The sequence below is a fragment of the Homo sapiens genome, chromosome 7 (genome assembly GCF_000001405.40).
Source record: "Homo sapiens chromosome 7, GRCh38.p14 Primary Assembly".
NCBI lineage: Eukaryota > Metazoa > Chordata > Mammalia > Primates > Hominidae > Homo > Homo sapiens.
This window is the reverse complement of record NC_000007.14, coordinates 28,161,704-28,184,446: the sequence shown is the minus strand read 5'-3', so window position 1 is coordinate 28,184,446 and position 22,743 is coordinate 28,161,704. Positions and strand designations below refer to the sequence as shown.

Sequence of the window (22,743 nt, the reverse complement as noted above, 5' to 3'; positions counted from 1 at the left end):
GTATACAGTCAGTAGGCAGGAGCAGCCAGGTGGAGAGCTAGGGGCTAACACTCATGAGGTCACTGGTGGCAACTAATAAGAATACCCCCATTACTCATTCTAAGGCTAGCTCTTAATCCTAGGCAAAATGAGACTGAGGGACAAAATGAGAATTAATCACCAGAGAGCAGATAAAGCTGATTCATTTCTGAGCTGGAATAAAATAAATACAGAAAACTTGGTTACATAAATATTAAACAATAAAACCTGGAATAGAAATCATCCTCCTTAGAAGAAGATGGAGCCTAAAAAGAAGGCATCCCTTTGAGCCCAAGGTTGCTGTTGGTGGAAGTGGCAGCCTTAGCATTCAAGAGCCAGGGAACATCAGACATTGTAAGCGTCCACAGACTTGCATGAGCTGAAGAAGACCAAGGTTCATGATCTGCTCCTTCGACACAGTGGTGACAATAGAAGAAATATCTAGTAAACCTGAAAAGCACCTCAAGAGGGACCTGGAAAACAATCTAAAAAGCCAGAGAAAGCTACAGTTGAAGGCAGTATAGAGTTAGATTCAAGATAGAATCTAATGTTCATATAGATCCTCTTGCATCATTAACAGATGTCCACACAGGACACAGGAAGTGCACGGTTTTGATTATCAGTGTATGCCAAAATAAACCAATTCCTGTATGTGGAGGACAGACAGCTGTATGAAGCAGGATCCTCAGTGTCTTCAGTTGGCTCCATTAGACCAGTGGATTCACACCTTCCGGCAGCTGCCCCATCTCGAGGGCACTGGACATGCTGGATTTGGGGAGACTGTTATGCGATCTCAAACCATTTGTAATGCTAAGTACCATATTATGGGGCCACTGCACATCCATACTTTGTGCCTATACATTGGGAGGCACTGGGCTCTGGGGAGAGACAGATGGTTTTCAAGAAAAGGCTCTTAAACCCAGAGAATGCTTCTTGTCTACAGCCACTGTCATATCATTCTGACTTCTCAGTTCCCTCACTTTCCCTCTCCTTTCAAATATTTTTACTTTCCAAATCAGACAGATGTTTTTTGCCAGTACAGAGGTATATCAGTCATCACCTTCTCTCTCGGATGTAATAAGTTGAATTGTTTGTTTTATATATTTTTGTAGCTTAGATGTTGACTTTATCTAAAGGGATATCCTGGAAACAAACATTTTAAAAATATAAGTACAGAAAGGTAAGCATGCTATTAGCAATTTTTAAAAAACTTTGCCTGTGGTTACTATCTATATATAATTTGTCCTTCTATTGTCTATCAATGCCTTCTAAATGCACCATGAGTACAGAGAAAAAAACTGTCTGTGTGCACCTGGGAGAACTTGCTTGATGCCCCGGCCTCAGTTTACCACATCTCCAAAACCAGTGGTTCTGACAGCCAGAGTATCTTCCAGGTCTAAGAGATCACAATCATGTATCTTATATAAAGACCGGAAATGCCTAGAGTGTACAGATTTTTAAAAAGTAGTATGAGCAGAACATCACATAAACAAAGCTTCAGTCACATATGAAGAAGTAGTAGGGTGGATTATTTTCAGGCAAAATGAACTGATTCCTTACAAAACAGTAATAATTATCCAAGGTAGAGAAAATAATTTTGTCTTAAAAACCAATATCTTGATTTACTTTGGAAGTTATTTTAGCTCACTTCATTTTTTAAAAAATCTATTTTTTTCAATTTGGTCTAGCAAGGTTTTATTTTAGGAATAGTGAAACTGACAGGAGGTAGTAGAAAGCCATGCATTAGTGAAACCCAGGCCCCTTACTTCCTTCATCTTTCACCTGCACATTTCTGGCACTTCCCATCTCGGAACTCTCTTGCCTGAACCACCTCTCCACACTCTTGGGAGTTAATAACTCCACGTAGACAATTTTTCCTCTGGAGGACAGAACTGCTACTTCTTCAAAGCTTTTGGGGCTCCCAGATGCTGCATAGTGGGGGTGCCTAACATTCATCTCTAAGGGTGGCTGTTTTGGCATCATTTTTGGCTGAAGTTTTGTATTGCATTTCCATGTCATTTGGTGTGGTGTGTGCCTGCCAGATATTCTGCCTGCTCTCAGCTGAAGGCCTTCCCAGATTGGGCAGCTGAATGTACTGCACAGCTGCCAAAATTCTAATTCAAGATCTAGAATTCTAACTCCTGCTCTTTAGACCCTTGTCTGGCCTTGGCCTCAGTCCCCTGCCAACTCGGTCCCTGGCTCATTATCAGGCCCACCAGGGCCCTGCCCCCACCCTCATTGGGCCCATGAAACCATTCTTGGCACCAAACTGAACTTCAAGACACAGCTGCCCCAGCCCCACCCAAGCCGAATCTCATCTCAGCAAGTTTGTCACCTTGTGAGCTGCAAGACAGAAGAGATGAGAAGAGAAAATGCCACCGGTGATGGTCAGATCATAAAACTTCCTGTAGCAACAGACATATTACATGTGCCTTTACTCTAAGCACTTACATGAAAAGCAAACAATCCCATTATTAGAAATAACACTAGACAGAGATGCATAGAGTTTATGGAGGGAGGAATACTATTTCTCCATGCATCTGCACCAGAGGGTAAGTGAAATTTGCCCTAAGGAAAAATGCTAAATTCAGTATGCATATATTAATATTAATAAAAAAAATGTACTGTTGGGTCATAAACTGCTGATAATGTGTAATATTTCTTAGACACCTGGAAAAGTGCTACTGGAAAATACACACTTTACAGAAGAAATATGACTGCAACTGGAGGAGGGGGTGGGGACAAGAAAGTAATTGATTCTCAGCAAAATGCTGGTTTTCAGGGAAGCTACTAAATTCACCTTAAGTGGTTACCTGGTCAACATTATGCTTTAAATGCTCACAGGATGAAATCGCTTCCTTTTTAAATGAAGAGTCACTATGTCCCTTGCCGTTGTTTCCGCTCCTTCTAGCCTTAACCAATGCACTGTCCTTTCTGCAGTGGCTGAAACGAGGATGGGTTAATTACCAGACCTGAGATGGTGGAGTGGGTGCAGTAGGGTGCTGTAATTTCGGGTGATGAAATTATTTTAGTTTTTGTTTTCCTAGAAGGAGCAGGGAGTATAAAAAACGTGGCACATATGTAAAACACAGGCAAATGCACTTGACAACCAAGCACTCTATTTTGAAATTTAAATAAAGCTAAGATTTTTTTCTGGCCTAGAGGGAAAGCTTCATTAAAATCAATTAGTTAGTACAAACCTCCGGAGAATGTGTACTTTTTCTAAAGAAGGTTTAAAGAAGAAGGTGCACACAATTACCTTTCCTGGGTCCCCTGTGAATGTGTCACACCTAGACAGGTGGCTGAGTACAAAAAAATGTCCCTGAGAGGGACCAGGGTAACTCCCTGAGTTCTCCTCGCAGGGAGGTAGGTGTAATTAATCGATGTGGGTGTATTAAGAACGTCATATACATAACCAAGGAGGCTCCAAACAGATGGCACGGATGGCAAGCCGTAAAGGGCAGGCCTAGCGAGATAAAGTTGGTGGCAGGGCTCGCAGGTGAGGCCTGGGTCCGCGCGCTGAGGTTGGGGCCGCACAGCTGTAGCCGCGCGCCCTGGTCCCTCCTCCCAGCTGCGGCGGCCTTCCCCCCCCGCCCCCGCCCCCGCCCTCCCCCCGCCGCTCCCGACGCCGCCGCCGCAGCCGCCGCCTCCCCTCTGCCTCCCGGTGGCTCCTCGCTCTCCTTCCATCTCTCTCGCCCCCTCTCCCTCCGTCCCGTCCTCGCCGCTCCCCTCACCCCGCCTCTCTCCCCCTCCCCCAGCCCCTCCTCTCCTCACCCCACCCGGCCTCCCTCCCTCCCTCGCCCGCCCGGCGCTCGCAGAGCCGACACCAGGGGGGCTCTCGATGTAGCACCATGACAGGCATCGCCGCCGCCTCCTTCTTCTCCAATACCTGCCGATTCGGGGGCTGCGGACTCCACTTCCCCACCCTGGCCGACCTCATCGAGCACATCGAGGACAACCACATCGGTAAATGGCCCGGGGGTGGGCGGGGGTGCCAGGCGCGCGGAAACTCCTGCCCGGGCGGGGAGCCCCGGAATGGCCAGGGGTGGCCGGCGGGGAGGGAGGCGGCAGGGCGGGGAGGGCGCGTGCGAGCCCCGAGGTGGGGGTGGCGGGATGCGGGGGCGCGAGGTGCCGGGGGGCGGGGAGCGGGCTCGGGTGGGGGAGGGGGCGGGCGCCCCGAGGTGCCGCGGGCGGGCGGGCGGGCGGCTGGGGGACTCAGGGGCGTGCACGCGGGCTGCGAAGTGGTGGGAGCGGGGAGCGCCGCGGCGGGGCGGCGGGGTTGCGGCGGCGGGGCCGAGTGCCGGCGCGCGGGGCGCGGGGCGGAGGGCGCGGCGGGCGGCGGGAGCTGGGCGCTGGGCAGGGTCGCGGAGTTAGTTGGCCCGGGTGGTCGGAGTAGCCCGAGGCGCTGAGGGCAGCGGGGGGCGGGCGCTGCACGCCGCCGGGCGCTTCCGCCCCGGCTCGAGCTGTCAGGGCTCGGCGGCGGCTGCAGCCGCGGGGAGGTGGAGCGGGGGGGCGGGGGTGGCTCCACCGCGGCAGCCATTCCGCTTCCTCCTCCCGCCGCCGCCGCCGCCACTGCGTCCTGTCAGCGCCGGTTGCTAGGTGTGGTGCGTCGGGAGGGGGCCGGGGCCGGCGGCCGCGGGCGGGGGCCGGGGAGCTTGCCCTCTCCCTGGGAGGCGGCCGAGGGGCCCGGGCGGGGCCGGGGACGCGGGCCCGGGGGCTCTGGGTGCCCTCCCCTGCCCCGGCCTGGCGCGGACGCCCGGGCGCTGCGGGCTGAGGTCTTGGGTGCGCCCGCGGGCCGCGCCCAGCGCCCCGGGGTCGACGCGCCCTGGAGGCCCCTGCGGCGGCGCCCGCTGGAGAGACACCCCCAGGGCCCATGGCCGGGCATTTAAATGCACCCCGGCTCTGCGATTTGCCTTTCTAATGGTGCTAGGCCCGAGGTGCGCTGGCTGCGCCCTGGGATCGGCGGCGGCCTGCGCAGCGCCCCGGGCCCGGGAGACGCCGGGGAGGGGGCGCCCCGCAGGGTGGCTGCTTTCCCTTCACGCCTGGACCCCTGGACCTTTCAACAAGTCCTCTGATTTGCAGAAGTCATTGCACACATTTTCACACTTCTATTCGGAACCCCTGCTAAGGGAGGTGGGCCGGGTGCATCTGGCTTAGGCGGTCCAACCACCTGCGGAAGGTGTGACCGACGCCAGCGAGTTGTCCTGCGTGGGCTAGAAGGTGAAGGGTCCGAGCGATGTCCCAATGGGGCTGTCTAATCCAGAGAACCTGTAAATTGCCCCCAGGAAGTCCAAATGAATGCCATGGATTCAGCCATGTGGATGCAGCTCACGTTTCTACAAAGTTGAGAGAATAAATCACGACTGCTGTGTATTTATGCAGGAATAAAATGAGGCAGAACCCTATGCTCCTTTGCTTAGTATAGTGCTGTCTCTGCACACAGTGGCTGCTTAATAAGTGTTGAATGCCTGTTTAGAATGTGATTTGATGGGCCATCCGGAATAGGAGATAATCATGGGAAACGTCTACAAAATGTCTTTCAGAGGAAAATGCTGTTGAGTAATTGTCCAGGTTTTGAAACTTTTCAAGTTTTCAGGCGTCCTTGTAATAGCTTCTTCCATTTCCTCTGCTAAAGGTATGACAGAAGAGCTGGGCAAGTTTTGGTAGTCTTAAAAGCAGTTTAATGGAGCAACCAATTTGCTGATTCATATCATGATTGAATAGTCATAACTGAAAGTGCTTGAAAGTATTAAATCAGATTTTTCATGATGGCTAGTTTAAAATAAAGCGAAAACACCGGTACTGTGAAGTTCTGGTAGAAATGTTACTAGTTCAAGTTCTTCCCCTTACTCCCAATAATAAGTAAAAAATAAATATAGATAATGCTATACATTAATATGTATGATATAAGTAATATAAATAAATAATTTCTCTTGACTTACAGAAGGCTGTCATTGCATATCCCATCCATTCTCGCTAACAGTTATTTCAGAATAAACTATAATTTATATAAGCTGAGTAATAATTTTACCCCATTGCCTACCTACTTAGACAAGCTGGTTAAAAGACAGTATAAATTATATTTATTAAAATGTGTTAAAGACAGTTATCCTTCTTGAGGATTTAGTTTGAGATGGTTTAAAACTTGGTGAATCATGAGGTTTTTTTTTTAAGTGTAGAAATTGTCTTAATATTTTGCACACATTTTTAAAGAAGGTTAAGAGTTTGATACGTTTTCTAAAACTCAGCTTTGAAGTAATGCTACCTCATTCCCAGAAGGCTAGTGTTGTCCTTTTAATAGTGAAAATGTGGAAAAATTAAGTTTACAGCAATAGCAGTGACCTAGGTGAACTGTGTTGCAGGGCTAACACAGTTGAAAACAGTTTGAACCAGCAAACTTTATGAAAAGCAAATGTTAAAATGAACAAACACTTGCAATTCCCAGGATGAAGAGGCTCAAACTATTATACACTTCTGCTGGGGAGAGGCCCTTTACTATCAAAGGCAGCCCTATATGCAGAAAGAAGAACTGATCTTAAGAAGAATAAAAATATCCCAATTAGTAGATAGTGTCATATAAATACACTTCTGATGAAAAGACATGGGTGAAAATATAAAGCATTTAGTCAAAGTTCTAGACAGGTATTGTTATGTGGTATTTATCGTTTTTGATTCAATCTATAAGTATTTGGAGACCGTTAATGATTGACTTACTGATTTCATGTCTGTTGGTGAGTGGTTACATTAAAAAGATTCATGAAAAGAATAAGAGGTGTGTTATTTTGCTTTTAATTTGTTCAACAGTCTTGTTATTTAGCAACCGTGAGTATTAGAGATATGCTTAGGTGAGCATTCCATTTTGGGGGCCTATCTGGGTTATTACCTTTAGCCACTAGTAAAAACCCTTAAACAGCGATAAAATGAATATTTATGGGAATATGGTGTGTTTCTTGCTTGGCAGATTTTTCAAGGCCTGTGTTTTTCATTATAAAAGTATTATGTTTAGTTTGGATTAATTAAGTGCATTAAGTTGAGAATAACTCTCTGTTATCTTATATGTGTATGCTTAACTTTTGTTTTTAACTGTTTTCCTCTCCCCATAATGAACAAGGATTTGGGGGCTTTAGAACCAAGGGAAGTGTGATTTTCACCACCCACTTTTTTAGCTCTTTTCTCTCCTGGAAGAGTGCTGTACCGGTGTTCCTGTTTTCTTTCTTGCATTTCACTGCTGGTTCAGTACTGGAGTACCTGTCTCAGTGTATACACTGAATATCCTAGCTAAAACTCTCCCCCATCCCCACTTAAATTTAAATTGCCGAGAAATCCCGTAGCCCTGCAACTGTGAAGTGCTTTTCCATCAATTTTGTTATCAATTCATTCATAGGTCTGAGTCTGTTACATGGAGATGGGAAAAGCAGGTCCAGGTTTGCTTGCTTCTTATTTTGAGTAGATAATTGAGTTTGTAGAAACATTCTTGGTATGAACATCCTAGATAGATGAAGTTAAACTGGTAACTGGGAATCTTAGAAACACCAGGAGCACTAAATTTAGCACTGAAGGTCATGTCCCAGGCTCATGAAATGCCGCTACAACCCTGCATCCCAGTGCTATGAAATCGTATGGCTTTTTGTCTGAGAAACACAACTGTTGAATCATTCTTATTTGATTATTTGGTGCATTTTTAAAAGTACCTCTGCATTTTGAATTTATTTATGTAATAATATATATTGAGTCCCTAGTTTATGCCAGGCAAAGTTATGAGCACTTGATATTTTTTGGTTAACAAAATGAAAATATCACTCTTTAGGAAGTTTATATTCTAGGATAGGGGGCCAGACAATAAACAATTGAGGTATGTGATACACAGTATGTTGGGAGGTGGTTAGTGATACAGAAAAGAGAAAAACTAGATCAGGGTCCGGAGGGTTGGGAGGAGAAAGTATGAGAATTTTAAATAGATTGGTCAGGGTGGGCCTTGCTGAGAGGCTGATATGGGAGACAAAACCTCGAAGGAGGTGTGAGAGTTAGTCATGAGGACATTCTGGGCGCAGGCAGTACACAGGCCCCAAGGCAGGCCTGCAGCACTTGAATAGAAACACAGGAATCTGACCCAATTCAGTTATTCATGTGATCGTACCAGACTAGCAGGTCATTTAGAACTTTCCTCAGATGTTAGGATCCTCAGCTTTGCTATTGAAACATTTCCCTGCAAGGGCCCAGTTAAGGGGCAGAGTCTCATTGACCAAGAATGGCTTGCATTAGCTATGACTTGGTTCCTGACCCCGAATATCAACAGGTTTCTTGTTGTGAGTCTCTACTTGTTAGTTTCCTCATCTCCAAAACCCAGGTAATAAACCTACAGTGCTTCATTTCATAGTATAGATTTATAAACCGTCTAATTAATAAAGGTCAAAGTTTCTGTAAAAAAAAATCAGGGCACTTACTATCAAAACTGTAGAATTTAGCTCCTAAGATGATTTAGTAAATATTTGCATTATCTTCTCAAAGGAGCATCACAGTGTACTAAATAGATAAGCTGTGCAATATGTCATAGGTCCTTATTACTCCCACTTTTAGGTGAGCAAACTAAGGTACAGTTTATAATTGCCTGAGCTTTCGTGGCTGATGTGTATGATTTGAGATTTGAATTCCAGACAGGTATGCAAAGCTAAGCCTATGCCAGTTGCCAATTAGGTGAAGAACGTGACAGTCCCCTCCTCACCTCCCCTCACACGATTGACTCTGTTTCCTCCTTTAGAAAGTAACTGAACTCGAGATGAAGGTCATCTGAGCAGTGGCATAGCGAATCCAGCCTGCTTGGAGTTGAACACACATGTCTGCCACTTGTCCCCCTTATGACCAGGGGCAAATTAACCGTACTATGCCTCCTCTGTAAAATGAGGATAGTAGCAGCATCCATCTCACGGAGTGGTTAGTGAGGATTAAGTGAGATAATATATGTGAAGTGTTTATCTACAATAATAAGTTGTCTACATCATCTAGTTTCTTGCCATTTGTGTATCTGCTAAATAAATATGTAATCCTACTGTCAGAGTCTACCTTCGAGATTAACATGGGTTGTATCCACCTATTAGTGGTGCTGTTTTGGGCATTTTATAACTATGACATCATCAGGCTCTTCCTGGGAAGGACTGAGAATGGAAAATAGGAGACTCCTCAACAGTCTAGTGCTGGTGTTGCAGCCTCTGGCCACGTTCTCTTTTGTGTGGCCAGAGGCACTTTACACCCTGGCAGAGGCATTTGCCACAGTGGACTGGGAAAGTGGTGTCAAAGCCAGCGGCTTCCAACATGGCCTTTCCTTGTGGCCTGAATTTATTTGAAAAAATCCAGGACTAGAAAGAGGCACTGTGCCTTGGGCCTGTGGGTGCATTCCATTGAGGACACTTCCTGTGGGGAGAAGGAATGACTGAATTAATAAATGAATGAATGAAAGGCTTGTTGCTGCCTGCCCTGCTCTCTGCCTGTGCCCTGTGGCTTGGCGGCAAGATCTCCCTGTTACTCCCAGGGTTCCCGAGAAGCCCCCAGGTGTAATGCTAGGAGTTTTAAATACATGTGCATACACACACACACACACACACACACACACCCACACACCCCATAGGCAGGATCAGGGAACCCGAAATCTGAAACTTTACGGCAGTCTCCAAAACTCTGTTTTCACTGGTTTTTCCATTAGCCTCTTCTCACCTGTAAACAGTCAGATCATCCTTTATAAAACATCACTGTTGAACATCCTGTCTCATAAGTTTCACAAGCTTCTAATTGTTTTCATTTAGTATACACATTTTCTGACATGTGACCGAAATGTACAGACACCAGAACTCTGCCTGTAACTGACTGGGTTGACAAAAACCCACATATTCTTCAGAAAATGGTTTCCTTTAGAGTTCATATATTTCGGAGATATCTCCTACGTTGACAGTTCTAGAAATACAAACTGACAGCTGTTTTGAGAAAACCCAATTCTTCCCGTAGGTGACAGTGAGGATACCTTAAGGCTGGCACAGGCTGGTGACACTTGATGAGGGGCTTCCCTGGGACTGTTTGGAAGCCAGAGGCCTGGTGTTGTAGACTGAGTCTGAGAGACAGGAGACAATGTTTCTGAATTCCTTAAAAATCCTCCTTTTCTAGTTTTAGCTTCTAGGGCAACAATCATACATACCCCACATTCCCTTATATTTCTCTACCCCATTCTTACCCCCGCCTTCAGATCTTGACAGTACAGACGTGTCCTGTGTACAAAGAAATACTTGCTGGATTGTAGATACTCATTTTGTTTCATGGTGAGGTAATAGATTTATTCCATGTTGACCTGGCTAACGTATTAAGTTGAAAAATGTTATTTATTTAGAATCTGAAGATAGGAAACCATAGATGTCAGAAATTTATTATGTGTGTATTTTTTAAAAGTGCCTTCCATTTAATATATTTAATTGCTGTAAAGAAAATTGTATTTTCCCCTCGCTGTAAGCACTGGAATGTTGCAGTAGTTTTCACCTACTTTTTTTTTTTTTTTTTTTTTTTTTTAAAGCTAGCTGCAAGCAGGGACCAGATTAGTGGATATCCTCTTTAAGGGTGAAGTCTTTCCAATTGCTGTCAACTTTGGCAGGAGTCAGAGGGACTCTTCTTGGGTCACTAACAATAGACTGTCTGCCCAGCACCAGAGAGCACTGATAGTCCCCTGACGGCCATTGTCCCTTGCCCAGCTCACCCACTGGCCTCCCAAGGAAGCACTGTTCATTGTCTGCCAGACTACAATGGTGACTTTCTCCTGAGATAGACCTCCTTGAAGGGACATGATCTGGATGCCAGGTTAATAACACTGAAAAATTCACCATTTCTTTGGTATTATAGATATAATTGATATATAGAAATAAATATATATTTTAGGCACAAAGGCATGTAGGATATCTAACACATATATAAATAATACATGTATATGTCTAATACACATACCACATATATGTGTGTACGTATATCCATATGTGTGTATATATTTATGTGTGTATATGTATACATTTGTATTATACATTTTTTCCCTCTCTTTCAAGATCACCATGGATAGTGAGGACAGCCACACATTTTTGAGTATTTCCTATGTTAGTGCTTAAGACAGTACTTCCTATCTCTAAGGATTTGAAATTTATTTGGAGAGACCAGACATGTACAGACTGAGATAAATAATGAATAATAATAGGGACCACAGAGGCAGATTTATTGTGAAGCTAATGAAGCTCCAGCCCCAGGGCCCCTGACTTGTACAACGCATTCCTTGCCGTTTTTGAATATATTGCCAGGGCCCACCCAGCACTTTCCAGGGCCCTGGAGGAGCCCTAGCAGTATACGTAGCTGGGCCTTCATGGGATCATAACTGGTAAAATTGGAAGAAGATTTTAAGCAATCCTTTAATGTTTTTCTTTCTCATTCTGACTTCCCTGCTGTCACATTTCTGTTTGGGTTTGATGACATTGGACTTGAAAGTGCTTTTGAGATATAGCTAGGGGGAAGTCGAATTGGGTCCACATTTTGTTTGGGTTTAGTGGGATGTATTTATGCAGTTCACAGTCATCTCTGTGTCAAGTTATCCCTAGCCATCCTAGTGTAGAAGTTGCTTCATAGGATCGCCACCCACCGTGCCAGCTTACCTGGGGTCCTTACACAAAGGGGAGGGTCAGAGAGAGAATTGCAGTGTTAACGGGTACCATGACATCTGCTGTGGGATGGTTTATGGTGCGTGGAGCCAGGTCTGTGGAGAATTCTTTCACTTGTTAGATGTGTAAAATTCTACGTGGAGGATTCAGTTCTTATCTAAGTGTAGTCAGTATGAAAATTCTCTTCTTTTAGGAATATACTCAATAATACAAATATACTATTAGAAATGCACCATTTTTAATGGGAATTCTGTGTTTAAGATTCTTGTTCATTTGACATGAATATGCCTGATACCAAAAATACTGACAACAAACTGGTTAATGAGTATCATTGATAAAAAGAATATTTAAAGTTAGTCATTGCACGAGAAAACTTGAAATGTCCTGGATTTTTATGGCTCATATGTGAAAGAAAATTAAGAGATGTGATTACAGGTTTGACAACAATCCTAAAAATGTATATGTCATTGCCAATAAAGAACTATAAGGCTAAAAGTAACTTTTCTGAATTGTCAATAATTAGGAATAAATTTTGATCACCCATGCTTGAGGGGAGATTGATTCATCTTTCTGCCCTGTGGAAAATGATATGAATATAAGTCATTGTGATATGAGGATTCATCAGAGTATACAGCCCAAAAGAAGTATTTATAGCAGTGTGTCAGGAAGTTAATTAATACACATACTGGGTTCTTTTCCTGGATTCTGATTTTAGGATGTTTTGGTATTGCGGCTTGTAAAATTTTGTGATTTGTTGTGATTTCTTAATCTCAATAGATAATCACTTTTGTAAACATTTTATAACATTCAATTTTTTTTCATAAGAAAAGTCTGAATCTGCAGGCCCACAAAACTTGGGTCTATTCCTTGAGCTCCCAATTCGGGAATCATTACTATATGTGCCACAGACAGTGCTAAATAATTTTTGTATAGTATTTCATTGGCCCTCACAGCAAGCCTGTGAAGTAGACATTACCCCCATCCTGTAAGTACTGCCTTCCGCTTTGGAGTTAAATATGCTACCATATTAGTTAAATAACACACTTAGTGAAATATGAACTAGAGTGTTTGTTTATATTGGTATAAAACAGAAATATTTTTCTTCAGGACAGAAAGCCTCTTTTACCTCAATAAATATCATTATTTTAATGGGTCTTCCCCTCTCTGTCCTGTAGCCCCTGCCCACAGCTGCACCAGCGGGGGTGTGCTCTGAACTGTGTGGTCACCTCCTGTGCACTGTTTCCTCCCCCAGAAACTCAGGGTCTTGTCATCATCCTATCCTCGTCCCCAAGACGTGTTTTCAGAAATGGTATGAAAATAAAAATTGAGAAGTACTTTGGGCTGTGAAAAAAATAAATTACAAAGGTAACTTTGGACAGTGAAAAACATCTTTGAAATTAATTTCTGTAGGTTTGCATCAATGAGGGCTGTATATTTATATGTTTATGTGTTTATGGCATTCACACAAATATCCATTATGCAATTAGTCCAGTATGGTTTATATTAAGGGAATCTGAAAGAGACTCTTTTTAAAGCTGATTTAAAAAGGAAATTGATTTTCCTTGTTAAATTGCCAGGGGTATTTGGTACACAGGAGGCAGAGGCCTGGGTGGTGAGAAGCATGGACTGTGAAGCTATACAGAATTGGATTTTGAATCCTCCTGATCTCACTAACTTGAGCTTTTCAAACTTGGGCAGCTCTTACAGTCTTATTTATATGAGATAGTAATACTATTATTTATTATTTGGGGGGATCCCGAGATTGATTTTCCTTTCACAGTACCTACTGGCTAGTTGCTTTAATATGCATTATGCAGTGTTAGTCCCATGCGACGCAGGAGGAAGCCAGGACACAGAGCAAAGAACAGCCAGGAAAATGCCCGGGGTAGCCAGGGCCGGCTTTGCTGCCAGGTGTGCCCATATACTCAGTGCTTGCTCTTTACAGCCTAAGTTGTGATCTTTTACAAGATGTTTGCATTTTCATTGAAGGCTCTTCCGCACCTGAAAGTCTTGGAGAAATAAATACAGAAAGGCTGGATTTCCACCAAGAGCAGTGTCGATGGGAGCAGTATGGATGGTTGATGACATATTTTGATGCCGGTTGTCTGGTTGAGGTAGAAATGTTTCTGAATGTGTCAAGGCTTCTGAAGAAAACACTTAGGTAGGACAGGAGGGTGCATGAGCATCCCATCACAGTAACAACAATGAAAACAATAATTTGGCAGTTCTAAAATGGTTGTAATTACTGAATTGTCCAAAGACGCTAACTGGTTTTCTCTCTCTCGCTGATGATCATTTAGGGATAGGTTCTCCTGACAAACACAATACCTAACCCTCTACACATACACACACATACACACATACACACACACACACACACACACACACACACACACACACACACACACACACACACACATATCAACTTCTCTTTTACTTCAGATTTCCAAAATTAAAATCATGTAATTATGTTCAGGTACTTTATTTTATTATTATTTTTCAGACAGGGTCTTGGTATGTTGCCCAGGCTGATCTTGAACTTTTGGGCTCCAGCGATCCTCCTGCCTCAGCCTTCTGGTAGCTGGGATTGCATGCACACGGCCCAGTACTCAGCTCATGTACTTTATTTTAAAGATTTTTTTTTTGACTAGTGGTACATATGGGGCCCAACTGTAAACACTGTGAGTTAAGCACTGAAAACCCTCAGTGCTTGTGGCCTATGTGTAGAGCCCTCACTGCTGGATGCTTCCCTGGTGCCATCCACAGAGAAGGCACACATCAAGTCCTGTCACTCCAGCACCAGACCTTAAATCGCTTCTGCAGGAGCACATCTGGGCTTAAAATTGAAGCACTCGTTTTCTTACCTAATTCATTTAGCGAGAGCCTCTCGAATGCTAATTTAGCTGCCTGATTTTCCATATATGGCATAATTATGAAAGTAATGGCAAAAGCAGGGGAATCTGTAGAGGCATACTTGTACAGTTTTCTGTTAAGTAAATTGAACACCATGGTAATAGGCATAAATAAGCAGAAATTATGCCCAGGCTTCCTCAGGTATCAAACATCACATGAAGGAAATGGGGTTTTTGAAGTTTCTTTGTAAACCCAAGCTAAGTACTTCTTATGGAAAGCTTGGCCTCAACAGTTTGCAGTTAACTTTTTCTAGGCCTCTCTTGTCCTCATTGAGCTCATCTCAGTTTACTTGGGAATCTCACCGGCTGGTAGACTGTGGAGTATGACTCATCTTCAGGACTGATAGCAAGTGTCACACAGGTGTTTTGCAGCCCTCCTGTAACTTAGAGATAGTTTAGATTTTAGAGAGATGCCAAGTACATCTTTTAATAAGATCTTTCTGACACTAGACATCTGGAGTTTGGCATCAACTCAAAGTGGTTGATGATGTGTGATTTAAACTAATGTGTCTCAATATTCTGCCCAGATTGGAAACTCCCTTTTATATATTGGCTCCACTTCAGCACTTTCAGGGGCCCACACCAAAATATTTGCTGTTAAAATATGCAAACATCACACAGAAAAATAAAGAGATTAACGTATAACGTTAAGTTATACATGCACTTCACTTCAGATGTTAGAATAAAGGAATCGTCTTTTGTCAATCCCTGGAACTATCATGGCACCTTCAGTGTAGTATATCTGACATAACTTGTAATGAGAATGATTCTCATCTGTGGCTTGTGGAAAATCAGCCTTATTGATTTATAAGTCACACTGTGTATGTCAGTGTTTACACCAGTACTTTAACACATGGGTTGCCATTCACAATCACTTGGGTGAAGCTGGGGGAGAAAAGGTTTCCCGGGTTCTGAGTCAGAGCCTATGTGTTCTTAGCCCTTCAGAGTTTATTCTAATGTGTTGCCAAGGTTGGGAACTCATTGGGTTACACTAATGAAATATCGAGCATTGGGAGGATTGTGTTGTTTCAAAAAGGAATCAAACTTTTAAAGGTGTGTGTCCATTTTGGGTTTCAGTTCTGTGGGTGTAGTTTTTAGTTTTACTGGAGGCAGGCCTTTAATATACAGCAAGTTTGATGCTGTGTTACTGTCTCAGCTATGTAGTTAGAGTACAAATGCTCAAACCAGGGCACCTGTGGTGGTGAAAGAGTCTCAAACTCACATGCCTCAGGACACAGCATATGAGGGAAGTAACCAAGTTCAATGCAGTGGGGCGTGGCAGAGACTGGCAAACTGAAGAGTCTTTGCTTTGCTTAAAAAGGCAGCCGATACCCAGTGTTGCCATGTTGGAGTACAGGCCCTTTGTTGGCAGATGCTTTTATTTATTATTATTATTTGAGAGAGAGAAGCTAGGAATTAAGATTTTTACTTGAAACTCATCTTTTTTTTTTTTTTTTTTTTTTTGAGACGGAGTCTCGCTCTGTCACCCAGGCTGGGGTGCAATGGCGCGTCGCAGCTCACTGCAAACTCCACCTCCTGGGTTCACACCATTCTCCTGTCTCAGCCTCCCGAGTAGCTGGGACTACAGGCGCCTGCTGCCACGCCCGGCTAATTTTTTGTATTTTTAGTGGAGACGGAGTTTCACCATGTTAGCCAGGATGGTCTCGATCTCCTGACCTCATGATCCACCCGCCTCGGCCTCCCAAAGTGCTGGGATTACAGGCATGAGCCACTGCGCCCGGCCGAAACTCATCTTTAAATGCTGGTAACTAATACAGATGGGTTTAAAAACATTGTGCAAGACAACTGCTCCACTCCACCCAATCACTGTGTTTAATAAGAGCCATTGATGACAGGCCATGTGCTTTAATGAAGCACGTATGAATGGCGGGGTGCAAAGTAAACCTTGTATACCATTGCTTCCTGCAAAGAAGCTATCTGAACTACAGAAAATGAAAAGAATAGTAGCTTATAGTGGTTTTTATTCAAAATTTCCATTGTTCTTTATGAAGCAGTTAACTATTTTTTAACATGAAAACATTGTAATTAAAACTTTTTCTTTTATACCAAATTCTAAAATGATAAGCCTTAATCCTAAAAGTGTATTAAGATTATTATCAGTACCATTTCCTTCCCCTGGGAAAAAAAGCAGGACCACTGAAACACTCTCTCCAGAGTGTTTTTATTGTGGCAAAAACCCTTTTGCAGGTGAATTGAGCATCTTATCATTTAAAAATGGAAAGGAAACTTACAGATGATCTAGGCCAACTAGCTAATTCTGTCGATGAAAATTTTAAGTCTTGAGTGAGTGCAGGTGCTTGGACGAGAAAAGTTGAGAGAATAGCAGTAAGCTGTGGTTCAGTGTGAGGTTCCTGGAGCTCGCTTGCCTCACTTGTGATCCTGGCTTTGCTCCTGTCAAGTTATAGAACCTCCCTGTGCCTCATTTTCTTCCTCTCTAAGATGGGGTGATAGTATGCACATATCACAGTGTTTTGTGAGACACCACCTATATTCAGTGTGCTAGCTGGTGAATTCTGAAGAAAAGAAAGCTGTCTGGTCATTTCCCTTCCTTGTCTTTTGCAGGAGGCTGGGGTGGAGGTTTTACTGTGAAGCGGTTATGCATGACCCTGGAATCCCACAGGCTACGTGACCTTGGCCAACTTATTTAATTCCTGTAGCCCTCAGCTTCTGTGCAATGAGCATGGGAATAGTATTTATCTCCCAGTGTTGTTATGAGGATTAAGTAGAAACATGACTATGAAGGGCCTGGAGATCAGGAAGCCCCCACACATGTTATAACACTGATAGGATTTACCTTTTTTTTGCATCCATGGTGATGCTCCCTATGCCACATACTCCTCAAAGTCTCCTGTCCTCTTCATATTTCCATAATATGATGGGAGAAAAACAATCAAAATAACCATATACATTTCTGCTTTTTGTTAAATATTTTACCTTGGAGATATTAGGTGAAATTTGATTTCCCTGGTAGAGTTTTGGTTTGTGTTTGTGTAAGTCATACTGAGTGGTCGTAGGAATTCATGAGCTGTTAAAACATTCCACACACAAATTCTTGCTGTTTGAAAATATAGCAGCCTTAATTTAGTATTGTTTATCCAGATTTAAGTTTTTGAGACATTAGATCATGTGATTAGAAAAATACTTCCATGTTTGATAAATATAGTTTTCTCTTTCGGAAAGAAGGCATTTCAAGAGTCTAGAGAGGTTTGTTAATCTATATAAGCAGAAAACATAATTATTACATGTTGCAACAACCAAGCAATGGAAAAAACAAGAGATGATTTTATATGTGTGGTTTGTAAAGGTTTGTGGTGAATCATTCGAAAGATTTGTAGGGCTTTTATGAAGAAATCCGAGAACATGACTCTAGGACTCACAAAATGCCATGCCTTCCTCTTTAAGGGGCTGTGCATCTCTTTAATAATAGTCCTTGAAATGTTACAGACTTAAACACTGGAAGCTTCTCAGGAAAACCCCAGGCTGGGCCTTGTTTTAGAAGCTTGCACAGCAATATATGAGTTGTTTACTTATTGCAGAGAATATTTAAAATACTTTATTCCTAAACAATCTTTGTCAACATCACTTGAAATCATTTTTAGTCTTATAGAATATATTGCCCTGATACAGTTAAGCAGCTGGTCCAGGCTTATTTGACTCAGCAGTAGTTGAGTAAGAAAGTGGTTTCCAACTTTTTTTATATATATATATATGTAACCAAGGGCCTCTTTTGTTAATTTTCCTTCTCCCTTCTCATGGGTTCTATTTCTTGAAAGATTTTGTCTAACAAAACAGGCTGATTTAATAAGTAATTAAATGCTTTTTTTTTATTTTTCATGCAGCAACATCTCAAACACCCAATTTATGCGTTTAGTAACTATTTATTGAGTGCCAACTATGCAGGCACTGTCTAGGAGCTGGGGTTATAGTAGTGAACTACACAGTTAAAGCCTCATGCTCATGGAAGAAGCAGACAAAACACAATACATGAGCTAATTTCAAACAGTCATAACCTTGTGAAGAAAAATACAGCGAGTCAGGAGAGAGAGGTTGAAAGGCCTGTTTGAGATAAAGTGGTCTGGGACGGCCTCTTTGAGAGGGAAACATTTCAGAAGGGGTCTGAATGAAGTTCAGTGAAGCTCAATGAAGGGGAGTGAATGAGCCATTGGGGCATCTAGGGGAAGAATGTTCCAGGCAGAGGCTGCAAGGGCCTGAGACTGGAGTATCTGGTGTGTTTGAGGGGGTGGGATAGGAGAGGGAGCTGGGACCTGCATGTGTAGCCTTGTGTCAGACAATGTTACCACACGGAGGGAACCTAATTCCAGCCCCAAAGGATGATGTGGAATGTTGTGTGACTTCGTTATGGTTAGTTTCCATTCTGCTTTTTTATAACATTCAAATAGCTCAAAGCCCCATTACCACCTTCAAAGCCCCTAGGGACCTGAGAAGCCCTAACTGGCACTCTAGTTCTCTTTAAATCTAGTTTGCTTGTTTTTTAATTCTAAAAGCTCTATTTACTTTTTGTGTTCTGTATTGAAATAAAAATTTTTGGCTAATGTAACTCACTTGACTAATGTAATTTATTTAGTGTTTGCTATTTGGAAGTGGGAATGAAAAATAAGGTTGTTGTTTTTGTTTTGTTTTTGTTTTTTTCTTTTGATACAGAGTGTCACTCTGTCACCCAGGCTGGAGTGCAGTGGCACCATCTTGGCTCACTGCAGCCTCCGCCTCTCCGGCTCAAGCAATCCTCCCACCTCAGCCTCCTGAGTATCTGGGACTACAGGTGCGCACCACCACACCTGACTGATTTTTATATTTTTTGTAGAGATGGGGTCTCCCTGTGTTGCCCAGGCTGGTCTCAAACTCCTGGGCTAAAGTGATCCTTCCGCCTAGGCCTCCCAAAGTGCTGGGATTACAGATGTGAGCCACATGCCGAGCCAAGTGTGTTGTATTAAAAATAATGTTTGGTACATTTTTCAAACTGAGAGCCCATAGATTTCTTTTAAAAAATTTCTTCAGTAGCTTTGTGAAATCTGCATAGATTTTAGTGGTTATGAGACTGCCAGAAATGGGGGCAGGGGAGGAGAATGGTCTTGAAAGCAGTAACGTAACATGTATTTTATTTGAGAAGAAGTACTGAGGGAGATTGTATAGATTCCACCTCTGAAGATACTATTTCACCATCACAGTGCCATTTCTTTAATTCTGAAAGGTAGTATTTTATGAATTCCATGAACAGTTTTTTTCTTTCACATCTGCATGTTATGGAGAGATGTTAGTGGAAACACTTTACTGTCAGAATAAGCCATTTGTTTTACCGAGGACATCTGGACCTGTTATCTGTATTTTAACCTGTCAGCATCTTTGTTCAAGTAATTGAAAGTAGTGTGCTTTGAGTGACAGGATGCCCATGCAGTCAATGAAGTTCAAGAGAAAAATCAGAGTGTGAGATATGCCAAGATACATATATTCGTACCTGTAATTTAGCCTTTCCTAAATTAAAATGATGATCAGCTGCTGCTACAATAATGAAGCATCACAAACTATCCCAAAACTCAGTAGCTTTAGACAATAAGCATTAATGCTATCTGGTCTGCAGGGGCACTGTGGTTTGGCTGATTGAGGCTGGGTTCAGCTGGGTGGCTCTGTGTTAGGCTGCTGGTCAGCTAATCTGCTGTGGGTTGGGCTCACATCTGGTCACAGATGTTCCTTCTGGGAACCAGGCTGAAGGGGCAGCAGCTAGTAGGGACATGGTTTTCTCATGGTGGACTACTAGAGCTCAAGTGTCAAGCCAAACCACAGAAGCTTATTTAAGGCCTCTATTCACATCATGCACATAACATTCTTTTTGCCAAATTAAGTAATATGGCCAAGGCCAGAATTATTAGGTCAAGGAAGTATGTTTCTTTTGAGGAGGGAGAGCTGTGAGTGAACAGTAATCCAATCTATTATGGATGCATTTTATCAGAAATAGGAAGAGTCCAAAAGGATTTTGATGTTTAGTACAGAGATAAAAATTTTCTCCTAAAGTGACCACGGTACTCTTTAAACAGGAGGTTGCTGTCCCTACGACATCCCAGAGGGCTTGGGACGCATATGTTGTAACTCCCCATGGAGGAGTTAATAAGCATTTCAGGCAGGGAAATTGGGACTTGAAGGGGAGAAAAAGCAATTAAATGATTTCTCCTTGGCCACAAAGAATAGGGGAACCTGCTTGTTTGGTTAGGGATGACCCCTTTTTATTACAAGGTTCCTTAAGAACCTAAAGGCTTTAATTTGGGTTGCCCAGTCTTCTGTACTTGTGTTCTCAATTCCTGAGCTGCTTGGCCAGGCTGAGAAGGTTAAGGGATGCTTCCTGTGATGCCCTCCCCTAGCATAGAGAGCTTTAAGAATTTTGGGGTGCTTTGCCACTTGTTCCTGTGCCCCTTCTCTTCCCCAGTTCCAAGTCGATGTCATGGAGGATGGAAAAGGACAGCCCAGCCAGTTGGGAACCTCTTTTTCCCTTTCTCCCACTGTATATCACACCTTCTTGTGGCTGAGAGAGCTGTCTCTGATGTCAGTTGTCCCAGGTTCTGGTTGGACTGCTGTGTGACCTTGGGCAACTTACTAAGGTATGATTTTTCCATGTGCAAACTGAGGAATAGGATATTTGCCATATAAGGCTGATGTGTGAGGGGCACATGTTAAACATTTAATGACCATGAGCTGATAATGCTTTTGTTATTATCTGGTATAACAAGCACAACAGGCAGCATTCTATTATTGTTATTCCAGTATCTTCCTGTTTCTCCTCACTAAATTGTGGGCCTCCAGAAGACATGATCCATGGCTCTGCATCTCATCTGCAATGGCACTAAGTTTATGACGCAGGAACTTAAACTGATAGCCACTGAATCGTATTCAGATGTTTCCTCTACCATGAAGTCTTAAGCTCCAAGGACCAGATTAGATTATTCCTAAAAACAGATTTAGTCCTCCTTTTTTCACTTGCATATTTTGCCTGAAATAAAGACTCCTGAAGCCATAGGAATGTAAAGGCTTTGAGTTAGTTTCATGCTTTACCTTTCATCAGACGTTTTATACACCCAAGGAAGCCCCTGGTGTCTTTATATCAGAAGAGTTGCAAAAAGCATGGAGACTAATTTTCATGGTGTGTCTGCAAGACTTAAAGGGTATTTAAAGAATATATCCTTCTAATATTCTTCTAACACCTGTCCTTTTACTTGTCTGTCAGGTTGTGACCATGATCTTACCATTTAGCTTGTTGACAGGTATTGTAAATGTTTCAGCTTAAGTCACTGATCCCAAGGAGCGGTCACTCTAGGACAAAAAGTTCAGCTGTTGTAACAAATAGGCCCAACCTTACATGAACTAAAGGCTCAAGAAGTTTGTCTCTCTTTCACATAAGGTAGAAGCTGGATTCTCTGGGGCCTGAGGATGAAACTTTGTGTTCCTGTAGAGGGAAAGGAAAAGAGTATGGAGGAGTACACATACAATATGTATGGCCTAGGCTATTAGTGATAACTTCTTATTTCCACTTTTATTGCATTAGTGAGAACTTAATTGCATGGCTACATGGAACTGCAAAGGCACTGGGGCATGTATCCTCAGCATGGCCTAGCTATAATTCTATTACTGTAGAGGAAAGGAAGGCCTGATTTGGGTAGACAGTTAGCAAGTTCCTGCCTTGGACCAAATAAGTGAGCCTGCTGTTAAGAACTTTGCCTTTCCTTTGAATAGGTAACATATAGCCTAATGGTTTAATGGAGAGAGTAGATGGTTATAATGACAATTAATAGCAATTACAATTTATTGTGCTGCAACTAAGTACTAGGGACTACAAAACACAATTGAATGCATTTTCTCATTTGACCCTCTCGGAAAGGCTGCAAAGGAGGTACTATATATTATTTGGATTTTGTAGGCGAAGACACTGAGCCTTAAGGAGAGTAAGTAATCCCCTCAAGATCACACAGTCAGGCCTGCTTGACTCCAAAGCCTTCACCATACTGCCATGCGAATGGTGAGATTCTTGGGGAATAAAGGATAATCATATACTGCTTCTAAGTCTGGTTTTTATAGCTAGTTAGCAGCAAAGGCTGTCAGGGAAAGCAGTGGGTTCA

General features: G+C 43.0%; 1 protein-coding gene and 1 long non-coding RNA gene across 4 annotated transcripts in view, besides 3 other annotated features; one reads left to right on the top strand and one right to left on the bottom strand.

The window, feature by feature from the left end:
* JAZF1-AS1 (JAZF1 antisense RNA 1) overlaps window positions 1–3,990 on the bottom strand; it is a 60,921-nt gene extending 56,931 nt beyond the window's left edge. The window contains exon 1 of the long non-coding RNA NR_034097.1: window positions 3,908–3,990. This is a non-coding gene — a long non-coding RNA (JAZF1 antisense RNA 1). The remainder of the gene's footprint in view (window positions 1–3,907) is intronic.
* The window catches only part of JAZF1 (JAZF zinc finger 1), a 350,219-nt gene continuing 331,127 nt past the window's right edge, over window positions 3,652–22,743 (top strand). For 2 of the 3 annotated variants that reach the window (NM_175061.4, XM_047420024.1), the window contains exon 1: window positions 3,652–3,984. In NM_175061.4, coding sequence (NP_778231.2) covers window positions 3,870–3,984 — 115 coding nt within the window. In that variant the 5' untranslated portion in view covers window positions 3,652–3,869. Of the gene's footprint in view, window positions 3,985–4,556; window positions 4,618–22,743 lie in introns of those variants that run through there. The other variant, XM_047420026.1, reaches the window with a different exon arrangement.
* Window positions 4,432–4,931: an enhancer, noted in NCBI's record as "H3K27ac hESC enhancer chr7:28219135-28219634 (GRCh37/hg19 assembly coordinates)". NCBI's record gives its function as "activates a minimal SCP1, AML or CMV promoter by ChIP-STARR-seq in naive H9 embryonic stem cells {active_cell/tissue: H9 hESC(naive)}" and the evidence as "EXISTENCE:reporter gene assay evidence [ECO:0000049][PMID:30033119]".
* Window positions 4,458–4,577: a silencer, noted in NCBI's record as "silent region_18044". NCBI's record gives its function as "represses an Ori minimal core promoter by ATAC-STARR-seq in GM12878 lymphoblastoid cells {active_cell/tissue: GM12878}" and the evidence as "EXISTENCE:reporter gene assay evidence [ECO:0000049][PMID:35858748]".
* Window positions 4,932–5,433: an enhancer, noted in NCBI's record as "H3K27ac hESC enhancer chr7:28218633-28219134 (GRCh37/hg19 assembly coordinates)". NCBI's record gives its function as "activates a minimal SCP1, AML or CMV promoter by ChIP-STARR-seq in naive H9 embryonic stem cells {active_cell/tissue: H9 hESC(naive)}" and the evidence as "EXISTENCE:reporter gene assay evidence [ECO:0000049][PMID:30033119]".